This window comes from Homo sapiens, chromosome 5, assembly GCF_000001405.40.
Source record: "Homo sapiens chromosome 5, GRCh38.p14 Primary Assembly".
Taxonomy (NCBI): Eukaryota; Metazoa; Chordata; class Mammalia; order Primates; family Hominidae; genus Homo; species Homo sapiens.
The window spans coordinates 41845348-41862922 of record NC_000005.10 but is presented as its reverse complement, the minus strand read 5'-3'; the positions used below and the strand labels follow the sequence as shown (position 1 = coordinate 41862922).

The window sequence follows — 17575 nt, the reverse complement described above, 5'->3', positions numbered from 1 at the left end:
TACCTGTATAAATATATACATTATATACAGTTATTACCTGGCAATTAAAAACGTGTATATATAAAGGAGATAATGAAATTATCATTTGTCTATCAATTGAATAAATTGCTACACACACAAAGTAAAGCTGTATCTCCAAATGATTATCAATTTTTTTTTTTTAATATTTCAGGGATGTGTTTGTTCCTTTTCCACCAGTGCTCATCGCCATACCAAGTTTTATACAGATCCAGTAGAAGCTGTAAAAGACATCCCTGATGGTGCCACGGTTTTGGTTGGTGGTGAGTACTAACACTGTTTTCATGTTATGGTAATGTCCTTATGTTTTTAAATGAAGCAGGCAAATCACAATGACAAAGATGTATAAAAATGATAATTATTTTATTATGCATTATTTATTGTACATATTATAATATCATCTATTTTATTAGTGTCTCCTTCCTAAAAGTTTAGCAAGGTTTAGCACTTAATATTTTACTTTCTCTGTGTGCGTGCATGTGTGTGTGTATGTGTATTTGTGTGTTTCTGTTTTGAAAAACTGAAGCTTCAAAGTAGTCAGGTTTTATTAATAGCTTTGAAAAAAATCCCTAGATCCCAATTTTTTAACTTAAAATGTTTGCATTAATCTCATAAGCTTACACCTTCAGAGACCCCGTAGACATGTATTGACCTCCCCCACTGCCAATTCTATTGCTGCTTCTTGTTTGGACTCTCGAGGGAGTTTCACTTTGTCACCCAGGCTGGAGTGCAGTGGTGCGATCTCAGTTTACTGCAACCTCTGCCTCTCGGGTTCAAGCCATTCTCCTGCCTTAGCCTCCCGAGTAGCTGGGATTACAGGCACCCACCATCACTCCTGGCTAATTTTTGTATTTTTAGTAGAGATGGGGTTTCACCATGTTGGCCAGTCTGGTTTCAAACTCCTGACCTCTAGTCATCTGCCCACCTTGGCCTCCCAAAGCGCTGGGATTACAGGCGTGAGCCACCCACACCCAACTTGCTGCCTGCTTCTGATAAATAATGTCAAGGATTATTTTTAGCATTGATCTCCACTCATTCAAGTAAGTCATTGAATGTTCATTTTAAACCCAATACAATTTGAGTAATCATGGAAAATATAAAGAAATGACAGTTTTGGGCTTAGGCTTCCAACTATGCAAAATCTACTCAGACATATTAACATTCTTGAAAAAGTTGTAGAAAAACTGATTTACAAAGCAGGAAAACAATAGATATATAGTTAAGTGCAAACTGAGGAATGAGTAGCCATATAAACTGGTTGCACTTGGCTTATACTTGTGGTTCAAAGACTGGGCAGTGATATGTGATATAATGGTGCAAAACATTTGGATACAGCTATATGACCATTTACTTAGCTGCTGAGATATATCTGTGTATTTTGCTTAGTAGATCTAATAATGTGCTTTGTTTTATTTCCCTTTTAAAAAGAATAACACACACTTCTCTGAAAGAACATTGTTACCCCCTTTACAAATTGTTTATTTTTTGGGCTTAATATAGGTTTTGGGCTATGTGGAATTCCAGAGAATCTTATAGATGCTTTACTGAAAACTGGAGTAAAAGGACTAACTGCAGTCAGCAACAATGCAGGGTAAGTGTGCATTTTAAAAACAATTGGCTGGAGAGAAATGCCAATTCTTAATATTTAAACAGAGTTTATCAATGAAATGAAGTTTTCTCCTATTCACATGAGCAATATGTCCAAGCATCAAAATCTAGTGTTTAACAAGGTCAAGAGGGGTGGTTACATTTATCCAAATGTTTTTGGTACCATCCTTCATAAGTAAAGCAGACTTGCTTCATCTAGTATAAAGATATAAATTAAGACTTTATATCTTAATGTGATGTGCTTTTATTTTTCTAAACTTAAAATGTATTGAAGTTAGAATATATATCTTCAAATTAAGTCTTGCATTTTAAAATTTAAATGTATTGTTTTATGTTATTTATTAGATCATTTATAAAGCAAGGTGGGCATCAATTTGAAATCTGTTTAAAGCCCTTTCTTTTAGCAATGCCATCATTCTAGATCATAAATAAAGGGATACCATTAATCACAAAAACATGGCTGGTCTTGGAAGGTGGATATGCAGCCAGCACTTAAGATAATAGGATTGCATATTATAGTGGTCAGAAATAAGCCATCATTTTAATAATAGCATGCACATTAAGGTACATTTAGCTATGTTAGGAAAAGCCATATTTTTATTTTTACAAAATGGTAAGTCATCAGCTCTCAACAATTAAAGACTTTAAGGATTTTACATTTTTAATCACCCAATTGGCATTTTAGCCAATTATAAAAGCAGTTTAGAATAAATAGTGTAGGTTATTTGGGAAGTAAAACTGATGCTACTTTTTTGTGCCCATTTTTCCTTTTCTGAGTCTGTTTCCTTCTGGGAGACTGTCCCTCCTCTTTCCTGTCTATCCACATCTCTCAGGATTAGACTTAAGTTGTATATCCTCAAAGTATCCTTATCCAATTATAGAAACTTTTCTAGTCTTTATTGATCTTGCCCCTTTTTGAGTTCCTTTAGAGACTTTTAGCCTTTCTTTGTGTGCTGAATTTTACTTATCTTTGATATATATGTATATTACATTACCAATCTCCTTTATTTACAGTAGTTATGTATTCCCTACTGTCCTGAGCCTGTAAGTCTGAGTCTCAGAGTTACTGTGTGTTGGAGGGGAATGGGATTGTAGAAATCATCTGTCCCTTGTTTAACTGACTTTTCAGATCGTCTGAAAATAGAGAAGTAACTTGTTTAAGACAACTCGATAACTCTTAAACATATCTTATGCCCTTTAATTTGACTTGATTATACATACTTTTGATTATCAGCACTTTCAGTTTTCCAGATAGCTTTATGCTTATAAGGGATACTACAGATCAATATAAAATTCTTGATGCAGAATAGATGCTGTTATGACAAAGGCTGAGAAATCTGATTATACATATGTACCTACACCTATAATTACTTGTGTGTGTGTGTGTGTATATATATATATATATATTACATATATATATATATATATATATTACTATACTAGTCAGGTATAATAGTTTTTTGAGAGCCCAATGGTCAGTCTATCACTCTAAAATGTCTGGTTGTGTACCAATGACTTTGAACCTCAAGATAAAGGCAGTGACCCCTCTGCTGTGCCCTTGTTCTTTGTTGAGGAAGCTGCAGCTCTGAAGGAGTTAATAATCAGATGTAGGCCATGAGCTGATTATGGACATTCCCTAGGATTTAGTTATTTTGTCTGGGAAGGGCTAACCAATTCCTGGGATGTATACTTGAACTTCTGTGCTCAGCTCATGAAAGATTTCATTTGTCTCATGTAACTACAGAAGTCCTCCCTTATTCGAGGGGCCTGTGTTCTGAAATCATGGCTAATACTCAACCCAATTGCTGTCAATGGGAATGTATTTCTGTTTGTCTTCCACCCACAAATTTAATGTCTTTTCCATCTTAACTAAGCTCTTATTATGCTCTGTGGCTATAACTTTTGCAGTTTGAGATATGACAGCAAAACTAGCAGATATTTTTCTCTTTCTTTGAAATTTAATGGATAAAAGATTCATTCTTACTTAGATCTTTCACTTAAAGGAAGCACTTTATGACCTCTTTCTGGCATATCCAAGTTGCCTGCACCACTACTCTTGTGTTTTGGGGCCATTATTAAGTAAGATAAGGACTACTTGAACACAAGCACAGCAAAGACTGCAGCAATCTATCTGATCACCATCATGGCTACTAAGTGAAGAACAGGAGAGTAGTATATACAGTGTAGATGTGCTGGACAAAGGGAGGATTCACACCCCGGGCAGGATGGAGTAGGATGATGATAGCTCATCTCGTTACTCAGAATGGTGCAAAACTTAAAACTTATGAATTTTATATGTCTGGAATTTTCCATTTAATATTTGTGGACTGCAGTTGACTGGGTAATTGAAACCACATAGAAAATGAAACTGCAGATTGGGTGGGGGATGGGGAAATTACTGTATGTCATAAATTAGCCTTATATTTAAATGAAGCATTTTGTTTTTGGTACTCTTGATATATTAAATATAATTATCTAATCCAGATTTAAGTATGTCTAAAATGAAAAGTAAACAAAAGAAATACAACTTGGTAAGTGATCCCAACTTTATTTTTGTTTATCTTATTTTGACAAGAATTGCCAATTAATGAGATTTCAGAAAATCAGCAAATTAAATTTCAGATTCAGAGCATGGAAATATTTCCAGAACATTGTCTCTGATGCGGTATCTTTTTGCTTTATAATAATGTGTCTCATTAATGAATTCTTGGCCTTAGACTTTTTCTAGTCACCAAAATGTTTGAAACCCAGGTTTGTTATGATGCAGGAAAAAGATCACATCTCTCTTTAGTATGCTAAAAAATGTTGGCTACTAAAGGAAAGCACCCATCTTTTTGAAGGTCTTATCAGCATTGTCTTTAGTATTAAAGAGCTATAAGATGGTTTAATATACATGTCTCTATTAGAAATGATATGTTCCCCATTTGCAAAAGATCACATCTATTTTTCTTTATCTTGTAAGCCTTTATAGGTAAGGGACTTGTCTTACTAATTTTTTATCATCAATGTCTGATAATAGGTAAGATATACACTTGCCAAATTTGGGTTGTAAAGTATGTGGCAAGAAACACTCTCATTGTAAGCTGACAGCATTTTCAAGACCTGAAGAACTGGTCAGGTAGTGCACCTGGGGCTAGCGTCTTATGCACTGCTTGATTGCTATGCCAGGATACTAGTCTAAAAACAAAGCAAAGCCCATATAAACAATGATTCTCAGAGCTAACAAATGAATAAAGAGATGTGATCTCCAAATAGAGCCAACTTAAAATGGGTAATGGGTTGAAAAGCCAAAGAGATCCAGAAGACAGTAGTTAGAAAAATTCCCAAGTCAATCAGTGTCCAACTATATTCTGGCTTTACTATGGGCCTGTAGGAGTTTCAGATATTTTAAACTACAGAAAGTAAAATGGATCATATCTACCTTCATGAATTATTTTATTACAACTTTATTAGTCTGGGCTGTAGATGATATCAAACGTAATTGAATTTTCTGAGTGGTTGAGGAGTTTACCAAAGGGAGCCTTTTCAGTGGAATGGTCAGGGATGAGGGAAAAATGAGTAATAAAGAACACTGGAATTTGTATTGGAGGGGTGCTGTTACCAGCCCCAGGTCTGAAGGAGTGAAGGCAGGGAGCTGTTACTAGGACCTGGAAGAAAGCTTTATGGAGGGGGTTATCCAATAGGCTGTAACTTCTCAGGGAGAGAGCCAGAGGAATATAAATCCCAACATTTTCCCCTCACCCACATCCTCTTGATGGTGCCTCCCATTGGGTGAACCCGGTCAGAGTGGCTGAACCCAATCAGAAGCCAGAGGGCAAGGGGACCCCTCAATTTAGTCTACAGGGCAGCCATCTGAGGTCCAGATGTTGGAGGGATGGTGAGGCCAGGAGAGGAAGAGAAGTGAGCCAAAAGGAGAATGGGTGGAGTGAGGTTGGGGACATCAAAGGGCAACTGATCACATGGGACCTTGCAGGCCACTCCGGAGACCTTTAATTTTACTCTGAATGAAAGTACCATCACAAGGGTGTGAGCAAGAGCAGTGATATGTTCTGACTTACATTTTATATGGCTTGCTTTGGCTGCCATGTTGTGTGGGAGGGGAAGCAGGGAGGGTTTGCAGTACCCTGGCAAGATAGTGCAGAGTACCAAGGAGAGAGTGAGAAATGGCCAGATTTTGAATAGGCTTTGAAGGGGGAATCAGGATTTCCTGATAGATTCAATGTGGAGTTTGTGAGAGAAGTCAAAGATCGCTGCGTTAGTTTTGGGCTGAGGATCTGTAAGGTGAGCCTGCCATGAGGTGAGATGGGAAGGCTGCAGTGGAGTTGAATTTGGGGGAATAGAATTGTGGGGACCTAGCCAGGTACTAGGAGTAGGTTAAAAACTCAGAAGGCATTGTGTGCATTGAGAGTAATGGGAAGACAGCCCTTGAACAACGGAATCCTTAGGCCTCTGGTGACCTCTAGTGGACAAATGTATTCTTAACTTGCCGGGCATTCTAGCTCAAAAGTACACTCTTGAAAATGCTTATGTTACTTAGGCATTAGTTTTCTTTTGAACCAAGTGAGAGTAAGTCATGCAGCTATTTCTTTTCTACCCATGGTGGATGGGAAATCTTATCAGATTCAGCATTTGAAGGCTAGGGGTGCAAAACACGTTGAGTAGGAGGTTGACAGTTACCTGTTACCTAGACACTTTGAAGTGTTCATTGTGTCAGGAGTGCCGGGGGTAGGAAAGAGGTTTGGAAATGAAATTCTGAGAATTGGGAAGGAATCAGCTGAGCTGGAGTGGTCACTTGTCGGTGTGAGGAGTATGAGAGTGGAGAGTGGAATGAAGTTGGGAGAACAGGTGGCATCAGGAGAAATGTCAGTGGTTTGTCACATACTTAACACCTTTCCAGATCAAGTAAGTAGGCGTCACTAGTGCTTGTTAATTTCCCCCAACCAACTTTCTTTATATTCCATCACCAAAGCCAGAATTCTGGAGTGGGTCTGCAGCTTCATCAGGATGGGCAACAAGTCTTATGAATTATTTCCCCCAAAGACCCTCTTGATTTCTCCCTTCTCCATTCCCATTCCCACTGCTCAGACTCTCACTGTTGGTTGTTTGGACTACTTCGAGCCTCTTCATTGATATCCCGGCCTTTCATCTTTCAAGCTTTCCAGCTAATCATACTGTTATATTTCCGCTTAAAACTTTTTACAGGGACTTCCTGTCTTTCAGGATGAAATCCCACAAGGCTGATCACAACTGGTCCTGCCTTCTCCCCTCCCACATGCTGTTGCCCTCAGTCCATACTCCAGGAACACTGAACATGTAGTTTCCTGAGTGCATCTTTGCAAAGCTGTCTATCTGTCTGTTTTTCTCTACACCTCCACCCCACACACTGTTCTCGAGATGTTTTCTTTTTTCCTATGTCTGTGTAAGTGCCACCTCCTGTAAGATTTTTTCTGCTATCTTTCTCCTCCCCAAAAGTTGGGTTCTCCATTTTCAGAATTATCACAATTTGTGCCTAATTCCCTTAGCATGTCTCTCCCTCTGTTGTAATTATAGGTTACGTGTTTATTTTCTCAGTTTCAAAGCTGCCCAGGACCAGGTCTTATTCATGATTGTAGCTCCAGAGCCTGACACAGGGATAGAATAAGCACTCAGTAAGGGAGTTTTAGATGAATTAACAAACCTGTGGTAGAATAAGCACTCAGTAACGGAGTTTCAGATGAATGAACTGTGTAGATGACACAAGCTCTGTAGGGAAGGAACCATCAGAGCACTAAAGGAATTAGGAGGGAGAGATTGTAAATAAAAACTTCTGTTTCTAGGAAGCACTCTGGTCCTTATCACTACATTTCTGTCTCTTAAAAGGCTTTCTTGAAGCATAGTATGGAGTAATATAGAAAAGTGAACATCTCATAAATACAGTTTGATGGAGTTTTACAAGCTGCACACCCATGTCATCAATGCCCAGATAGATAAATGGAACATGACCAGTACCCCAGGAAGCCCTCTTCCTGCTCCTTCCAGTCGCTGTTCTCTTCTCCCACTACCAATATTAATCGTTAGCCTTACTTTTGATTCTCATAGATTTGTTTTGTCTGATTTTGAACATCATATTAAAGGAATATTTCAGAGTATAATCTTGTGTCTGGCTTTAGCTCAACATTATTCTGTGAGATTCAACCATTGTTACTGATGGTTATAGATGAGTCATTCTCACTGCTATACCCCACTTCATTATGTAGTATGCCACAATTATCTATTTTGCTGATGAGCATTTGGGAGGCTCCAATTTTGGCCATAATGAACAGTGCTGCTATGAATTTTCTTGCACATGTCTTGTGATGAACCTAAGTATGCATTTCTGTTGGTTATAGACCCAGAATGGAATTGCTGACCCATAGCATATGGATATATTGAACATTAGTAGGTACTAACAGTTTTTCCAAGGTGGTCATTTCAGTTTAAATTCCCCTTGGCACATATGAGAGTTCTGATTGTTTCACATCTTTGTCGAGACTTGGTATTTTTTTCTTTTTTAGCCATCCCTTCATGTTTGTGGTGGTGTCTCATCATACTTTTTGCCATTAAAAGTGTTTTGCTACGAAAAATACTTCCCCATTAAAACAATTTCACCATTAAAAAATATTTCGCCATTAAAAGATATTTCGCCATTAAAAATATTTCACCATTAAAAAAAAATTTTGTCATTAAAAAATTTCACCATTAAAAAAAGCTTAAGGTCAAGTATTCTTATCTTAGAAATGTTTTATTTCTCTAGTTGGTTAAAATATTTCTGACTCTTGAATGGAAGATGATCTTCAGTCTTTAAGGTGACTGAAATGGAAAAATAATTCATTCAGTTATCTATCTTGTTACATTGACTTTGCTTTAAATTCTAGGCATATTTTGCTTTGAAAAATAATAGAAATAAAGAAAGGCATAAACCTGGAGACCTTCACCCAATGAAAAAATAAAGTCAACACTGTGTATACCATTTCTAAGAATAAATTGAGCGCCAGCTTTAAAATAATAAAGATATTAAACTATAGTATATATAATTTAACAGATACAGGATTATTGTTTCCACTTAACACTCTTCACTGGCTTGTGATTAATTTTTTTTTTGCTTGTTTTTGTTAAGAATGTGTAAATCTTCTTGAGCAAAAGATTTATGATATAGGGAAAATGTTCATAGCTATTTATAATTTGGGTCCACATTTCAATGAGCATGTTAATCTCTCTTTTAAATACCAGAATGCCCCTCTCTCCTTTTTAGAAGTGAAAGAGCTTCTCCATCCAAATCTTCATTTTGGGTCAGTATATTGTCACTGCATTTATGTGTTCCTTCAAAGCATAGGACAAGAACCAATTCATCTCTTTGCTTATCTTCTAACTCAGAATCACTCTGCAGCCGTGAAAATAACAAAAGGTGCGGGGTAAAACTGTAGGGTTGACATGGGTGTGAATATTGGCTGTATGTCCCTTACTGCCCAAGACCTTGCCCTGTGCATGCCCCGCTCCCACAAAAAAATAACTTAAACTTCTTGACTTTTAGTTTCCTCAACTGTAAAATAAAAGGATAGCTACCTTGCAAAAGTTTTGGGGTTATGGGAGACTAAGAATGTGGATCAAATGCCTATAAGAAAGGATTTATTTTTCTTTAAATTAACAAAGTTTTATCTCTTTAAAAAGATGTAATAGTGTTCTGTCAGATGCTCTTTGGTAAGCTCCCTTCATTTTCCTTCTAGGGTTGACAATTTTGGTTTGGGGCTTTTGCTTCGGTCCAAGCAGATAAAACGCATGGTCTCTTCATATGTGGGAGAAAATGCAGAATTTGAACGACAGTACTTATCTGGTGAATTAGAAGTGGAGCTGACACCACAGGTGAGAAAATTTGCTTTTCTTTTATAATACTAACTTACTTTAAAAATTCCTTTTTTCTCCGTGGAAATTTCTTTGTGCAAAAGAGGTAAGGCAGAAGGAATAGTACTTTGCCAAACCAGGGAATTTTGTTTCTAACTCACACCTGTTGATTGCTGGAGGATTAATATTTTCTTCTACTGTGTACTGAAAAAAGAGATATTTCTAAAAGATATCCAGGCTGCAAGATAAGATTTTAAGTTTGGCACTGTAATGTGTATTGTGCCAGAAGCATACAAAAGGATTTGCTGGAATGTTTGAGAATCATCCTAAAAAGTTAATTTATAGGAATTTATTTTTATTTTTTTTTTTGAGGCAGAGTCTTACTGTGTCACCCAGGGTGGAGTGCGGCGGTGTGATCTCGGCTCACTGCAAACTCCACCTCCCGAGTTCAAGCAATTCTCCTGCCTCGGCCTCCTGAGAAGCTGAGATTTGAGATTACAGGCATGTGCCACCACGCCCAGCTACTTTTGTTTTCTGTATTTTTAGTAGAGACGGGATTTCACCATGTTGGCCAGGCTGGTCTCGAACTCCTGACCTCAAATGAGCCGCCTGCCTTGGCCTCACAGGTGTAAGCCACCATGCCTCTCCAATTTCTATGAATTTTAGAACTAGAAATTTATGGGTGATCTGGTCTTGCTGAGACACTTCAGAGTGAAGCCCTTGAAAGGTGCATGTGACTATATCTGAGTAAGTGCTGGGATCAGAACCTAGATTCCCAGGGAACTGATGTTACTACAAAGCAAGCAGTTACTATAATTAATCTAGCAACTTTTCACTCATTTTCTATGTCATCTCTTAACTAATTGGAGTTATTCATAAAGAAAGGAAAACTTTCTGAAATCTTTAAGTAAAATGAGGGTCTACAGTTTGCTCTTCTTTCATTTTGACATGCTCTGCTCTCAGCTCTTGAACTGAGCCACTCCGCTTTATTTTAGTCAACAGAAAATATTGCTACTGACTTTGCCAAGTTGGTAATAACATAATTTAGTAGATTTTTAAAAATTAGTAATGAAATCATGGTGTGTTTGTCTAGAAAGCACACATGGGAACTATTCTGAGGCTCGTGTTGCAGTCACACCTGGTCACTCTATAGCACCGTTACCTGTACATACCATAGCATTGCACTGGGCTTGGTATTTACTCAATTTTCTCAGTTTTTTGAAAAAACAAAAACAAAAAAAACAAAGATGTCTTAGTCTGCTCAGGCTGCTATAACAAAATATCACAGACTGGTGGCTTAAACAACAGAAGTTTCTCACAGTTCTGAAGGCTTGGAAGTCCTCCTTGGCTTGCAGATGGCCGACTTCTCACGGTTCTTGCATGGCGGAGAGCATGCATGCTCACTCTCTGGGTGTCTCTTCTTGTAGGAACACTAATCATACCAGATCAGGGCCCAACCTTTTTGACTTCCTTCAACCTTGATGACCTCCTTATAGGCCCTATCTCAATACAGTCACACTGGTGACTAGGAATTCAACATATGAATTTTGGGGAGAACACAGTTCGGTCCATAGCAGTATTTTTCACATGGTAGGTTAAGATACAGTATTCTTTGGGTTGTGGAACTATTGAAAATTAACCTTTTGATTACCCTTGGTATCTTTTATGTTACTCCTTATTTCGTCAGAAAGTACGTACATCATTAATATATCATTTTTTTTTTTACAGTTTTTCCTCAGGCTAAGAGAGGTCAGTGTCTCCTTCCCCAACTTAGTGGCCCGTTAGTAAACACTGGCTCTGGCAGCTTATTTTGCAGCCTGAAGGCTAGGGGGAGGAGTATCGATGGTGGGGATCAGGAGTTCTTTGGTGGGTGAGGGTAAGGAGCTGGTGGCACCTACAGAAGGCCTATCTGCAGAAATAGTCCACTTTCAGGCCCTTACCTGGTATGATAGAAGGAGAGTATTCAGGGAGGGTATATATAAAACATATTTTAAGGCAAGGGGTAGTGTTATGGTAATTTTGATGATTTAATTTTTTGTAAATGTTACTAACTTCACAACACAAGGTAGAGTCATCTCTTTCCGTTGGCTAGATAATCAGTTATCTGGAAGATTTTCAGTTATACCCCAAGTCTCTGTTTCCCCAGAATATTCCACCTACTTGAATGACTCAATGTCTCAAGTCCCAACTGTTAGTTTCTTTTTTGAGTTGAATACTTAGAGTCCTGTTAAAGTAGAAAATACTTTTTAAGGTTGGGACAATATGAACACATCATCATTAATACCATGAACCAATTCTTTTTTTTCTTAAAGAGGCAGATCTCATTATGTTGCCCAGGCTGGACTCAAACTCCTGGCCTCAAGTGATCCTTCACCTCCCAAAGCACTGGGATTTACAGGCATGAGCCATGGTGTCCAGCCCCAATTTTTAACTACTGACTAGCCAGTCAGTTTTCTAGTAAGACTGTTGTAACAAGTCTATCACAGTAGGCGTCAAGGTTAGGAAGGGTGTCAAGGTTCAGGGCCAGAGTTGATTCCTTAGGGAAAACCTGGGTAGAAAAACAGTTGAGAGTGAGAGAGCCAGGGAAACTAGTCTTGAAATCACTGGTACCTAGGAAGAAGAGTCACCCATCGGAAAGATGATGATCAAAAGAAGATACAAAGTAACTTTGCTTGCAGCTGTTTCTACTCTGAAACAATTTGATGTACTCTTGGCTTTTAAAAACCAATTTACCAGTATGCTGTATTTTTCACTTTGTTTTTTTTCTTAGACGATTTGTAGATAAAAATATTTATGAAAATGGTTTAAAATAAGCTCTAAAATTTAAACACTTTACATTATTAACTTGAATAAAATTTAGGCCATACCAACATAGATCATGAAATAAAACAAAATTTAACTGCATTACTTAATATATATAACTAAAGTTTCATAATTCAGATTTTAAAATTGACTTAGAATATCAAAAATAGACACATTTAAATGTGTCAAGAGATCATTGAGAGGTATGGAAGCTCAATGCATGACTATACAAATAAGCGGTTACATTTTGAATGTGGATTTAGAATGGTTCTAGAGGGGCAGTAACTTCTTAAAATTGATCTTCTAGCATACAATATTAGTGAAGTATGCTAATGTACAATGCTAGCTACTTTTTAGAATTATAAGCCTCTAGATAGTAGGAACCACGTCTAAATGTTTGTGTCCACATAGAGAAGTGTGCTTAGTGAACTTATGGGGTGTTGGTTGCTCACTTGCAGGGCACACTTGCAGAGAGGATCCGTGCAGGCGGGGCTGGAGTTCCTGCATTTTACACCCCAACAGGGTATGGGACCCTGGTACAAGAAGGAGGATCGCCCATCAAATACAACAAAGATGGCAGTGTTGCCATTGCCAGTAAGCCAAGAGAGGTAAGAAACACTCTTAACCAGATTATACCAGGATCCCTCTTTCCACGTGGGATTTTGGGTGGATCATTGGGCAAATAAGTATAAAATCACCTCTATGTGAGAAAAAGCACTCATTCATTTTCATAAATAGGTGAAATTTCTAGCTAAATCTGGGCATCCACTAGCATTTAAAATCACGTAGAGAAACTACAATAAAAAGAAGGAAAAAATGGTGTAATCCACATATGGTGTACTAGTCAAGGTTAGTTACTTGAACTGATTTTATGGTAGGCTTTAACAAATTGAGAAACAGTTATACTTGCTGATTATGCTTATATGGAAAATAAAGTAGTTGTGGTATGCATGCTAGCAAACTCTTTATGCTCAGGCCCTTCCTAAAGTGACTGTAGGAAGAAAAAACAAGGAAATAATATGTTTGTCTGAAACCTTGAAAGGAACTGTTATGATAGAATAGAGAGTTCATATGGTCACTATTTATTTTGTATCTTGGACACATTTGAGCTTTTGATGGAATAACCTACTTCTATTTAAAATGCTGAGTAGGATGGGGTACATCTATCCTAGGCATATTATAGAAGAGTAGAATTTCAGATAAAGGTATTTGAGATGCTCAGGTTGGAGAAAATTTCAAAAATTACACTGGCCAGTATTTCATTACGGTATTTTTTAGTATCTTTCCATTTTCCTGTCCAAATGGCCGAAGAAAGTTAACACAGGTTGCAGAAATGCTGTAGTCATCTCTGGGGAAGTGAACGTAGTAAATCAGGGGATCTCTTATCACTTTTCTGCATATGGGGATGCTGGCTGTGCCCCTCCCATTCCTAGGAACGATCAGAGGGAAGATTGGAGGTCACTGAATATGTCCTTTGATGTTCACTGTTGATCTCCAGCTGCATCTTCCATCTGGAGACATCTTTCTGTTGAGAGTGATCTATGTGGATTCAAAGCTTTTATTAATGTGTTTTTTAGATTCTGGATATTAGCCCTTTGTCCGAAGAGTAGGTTGCGAAAATTTTCTCCCATTTTGTAGGTTGCCTGTTCACTCTGATGGTAGTTTCTTTTGCTGTGCAGAAGCTCTTTAGTTTAATTAGACCCCATTTGTCAATTTTGGCTTTTGTTGCCATTGCTTTTGGTGTTTTATACATGAAGTCCTTGCCCATGCCTATGTCCTGAATGGTAATGCCTAGGTTTTCTTCTAGAGTTTTTATGGTTTTAGGTCTAACGTTTAAGTCTTTAATCCATCTTGAATTGATTTTTGTATAAGGTGTAAGGAAGGGATCCAGTTTCAGCTTTGTACATATGGCTAGCCAGTTTTCCCAGCACCATTTATTAAATAGGGAATCCTTTCCCCATTGCTTGTTTTTCTCAGGTTTGTCAAAAATCAGATAGTTGTAGATATGCGGTGTTATTTCTGAGGGCTCTGTTCTGTTCCATTGATCTATATCTCTGTTTTGGTACCAGTACCATGCTGTTTTGGTTACTGTAGCCTTGTAGTATAGTTTGAAGTCAGGTAGTGTGATGCCTCCGGCTTTGTTCTTTTGGCTTAGGATTGACTTGGCGATGCGGGCTCTTTTTTGGTTCCATATGAACTTTAAAGTAGTTTTTTTCCAATTCTGTGAAGAAAGTCATTGGTAGCTTGATGGGGATGGCATTGAATCTGTAAATTACCTTGGGCAGTATGGCCATTTTCACGATATTGATTCTTCCTACCCATGAGCATGGAATATTCTTCCATTTGTTTGTATCCTCTTTTATTTCCTTGAGCAGTGGTTTGTAGTTCTCCTTGAAGAGGTCCTTCACATCCCTTGTAAAAGTTGGATTCCTAGGTATTTTATTCTCTTTGAAGCAATTGTGAATGGGAGTTCACTCATGATTTGGCTCTCTGTTTGTCTGTTATTGGTGTATAAGAATGCTTGTGATTTTTGTACATTGATTTTGTATCCTGAGACTTTGCTGAAGTTGCTTATCAGCTTAAGGAGATTTTGGGCTGAGACAGTGGGGTTTTCTAGATATACAATCATGTCGTCTGCAAACAGGGACAATTTGACTTCCTCTTTTCCTAATTGAATACCCTTGATTTCCTTCTCCTGCCTAATTGCCCTGGCCAGAACTTCCAACACTATGTTGAATAGGAGTGGTGAGAGAGGGCATCCCTGTCTTGTGCCAGTTTTCAAAGGGAATGCTTCCAGTTTTTGCCCATTCAGTATGATATTGGCTGTGGGTTTGTCATAGATAGCTCTTATTATCTTGAGATATGTCCCATCAATACCTAATTTATTGAGAGTTTTTAGCATGAAGGGTTGTTGAATTTTGTCACGGTCTTTTCTGCATCTATTGAGATAATCATGTGGTTTTTGTCTTTGGTTCTGTTTATATGCTGGATTACATTTATTGATTTGTGTATATTGAACCAGCCTTGCATCCCAGGGATGAAGCCCACTTGATCATGGTGGATAAGCTTTTTGATGTGCTGCTGGATTCGGTTTGCCAGTATTTTATTGAGGATTTTTGCATCAATGTTCATCAAGGATATTGGTCTAAAATTCTCTTTTTTGGTTGAGTCTCTGCCTGGCTTTGGTATCAGGATGATGCTGGCCTCATAAAATGAGTTAGGGAGGATTCCCTCTTTTTCTATTGATTGGAATAGTTTAAGAAGGAATGGTACCAGTTCCTCCTTGTACCTCTGGTAGGATTCAGCTGTGAATCCATCTGGTCCTGGACTGTTTTTGGTTGGTAAGCTATTGATTATTGCCACAATTTCAGATCCTGTTATTGGTCTATTCAGAGATTCAACTTCTTCCTGGTTTAGTCTTGGGAGAGTGTATGTGTCAAGGAATTTATCCATTTCTTCTAGATTTTCTAGTTTATTTGCGTAGAGGTGTTTGTAGTATTCTCTGATGGTAGTTTGTATTTCTGTGGGATCGGTGGTGATATCCCCTTTATCATTTTTTATTGCGTCTATTTGATTCTTCTCTCTTTTTTTCTTTATTAGTCTTGCTAGCGGTCTATCAGTTTTGTTGATCCTTTCAAAAACAAATTTACAAGAAAAAAACAACCCCATCAAAAAGTGGGCGAAGGACATGAACAGACACTTCTCAAAAGAAGACATTTATGCAGCCAAAAAACATGAAAAAATGCTCACCATCACTGGCCATCAGAGAAATGCAAATCAAAACCACAATGAGATACCATCTCACACCAGTTAGAATGGCAATCATTAAAAAGTCAGGAAACAACAAGTGCTGGAGAGGATGTGGAGAAATAGGAATACTTTTACACTGTTGGTGGGACTATAAACTAGTTCAACCCTTGTGGAAGTCAGTGTGGCGATTCCTCAGGGATCTAGAACTAGAAATACCATTTGACCCAGCCATCCCATTACTGGGTATCTACCCAAAGGACTATAAATCATGCTGCTTTAAAGACACATGCACACGTATGTTTATTGCAGCATTATTCACAATAGCAAAGACTTGGAACCAACCCAAATGTCCAACAATGATAGACTGGATTAAGAAAATGTGGCACATATACACCATGGAATACTATGCAGCCATAAAAAATGATGAGTTCATGTCCTTTGTAGGGACATGGATGAAATTGGAAATCATCATTCTCAGTAAACTATCGCAAGAACAAAAAACCAAACACTGCATATTCTCACTCATAGGTGGGAATTGAACAATGAGAACACATGGACACAGGAAGGGGAACATCACACTCTGGGGACTGTTGTGGGGTGGGGGGAGGGGGGAGGGATAGCATTGGGAGATATCCCTAATGCTAGATGACGAGTTAGTGGGTGCAGCACACCAGCATGGCACATGTATACATATGTAACTAACCTGCACATTGTGCACATGTACCCTAAAACTTAAAGTATAATAATAATAAATAAATAAATACATACATACATACATAAATAAATAAAGAGAAGACTTCTGGATTGGAAGGCAGAAAATGAGTGCAATTAGGGAGGGAATGCAGGGGGATTTAAACTGAATATTAATGTTCTATTTCTTAAGCTGGTGTTATAAAAATGTATAAGTACTGCATATATTTTTAAAATGCTACATAAGCATATTTTGTACATTTTTATATGATAAATTTTACATTAAAATATTTTAAGATAAAAAATGTGTTTTTTATGTTTGATCTTTTTCCTTTACTGTCTAAATAAGTTTAAAAGGCTTCTTGACAAAGTAAAAGACAGGAGCCTAATTGTTAAAATGAACTGTAGTAGTATCTCATAAAGTTCCCGGAAAACTTGGGATAAATACTTTGATAGCTTGCTAGAAGTTGAAAAATTAATTCACCTCGTGAAAATATGAGACTAAAATATTTCTTAGGTTCATTTCTGCCTGGAATCAGGTGCCTCAAACTCGTAGTTTTTTAATTTTGTCTGAATTCCCTAGGAATATGACAGATAATTTATTTCTTAATTCTTAGTACTTTTTTTTTTTACTTAAAGCAGGAAAAAGTGAGTTCATTTCTAAATTAGTGTTATTTATTGAGGTCCTACTCTTTGCCAAACCCTGGTCTAAGCACTGTGGTAAAATGATCTAGATCAAGTCCTCCTGCTAGTGGAGGAACTGACAATGAATGAATAAATGCATAATGTCTATAGTGGAAGTACTGTGAAGACAAATCAAGTAGATTAACAGCAAAGAGAATTAATTATC

General features: G+C 37.6%; 1 protein-coding gene across 6 annotated transcripts in view; it reads left to right on the top strand.

The window, feature by feature from the left end:
* The window catches only part of OXCT1 (3-oxoacid CoA-transferase 1), a 140361-nt gene that overhangs the window by 7503 nt on the left and 115283 nt on the right, over positions 1-17575 (top strand). For 5 of the 6 annotated variants that reach the window (NR_157114.2, NM_001364301.2, NM_001364302.2 and 2 more), the window contains exons 2-5: positions 173-281; positions 1519-1609; positions 9369-9504; positions 12744-12893. Coding sequence is in view for 5 of the 6 variants with exons in the window: in NM_001364301.2 (NP_001351230.1) it covers positions 173-281; positions 1519-1609; positions 9369-9504; positions 12744-12893 (486 nt within the window). In the remaining variant the exon portion in view is untranslated. Of the gene's footprint in view, positions 1-172; positions 282-1518; positions 1610-9368; positions 9505-11211; positions 11233-12743; positions 12894-17575 lie in introns of all 6 variants that reach the window. The other variant, NM_001364299.2, reaches the window with a different exon arrangement.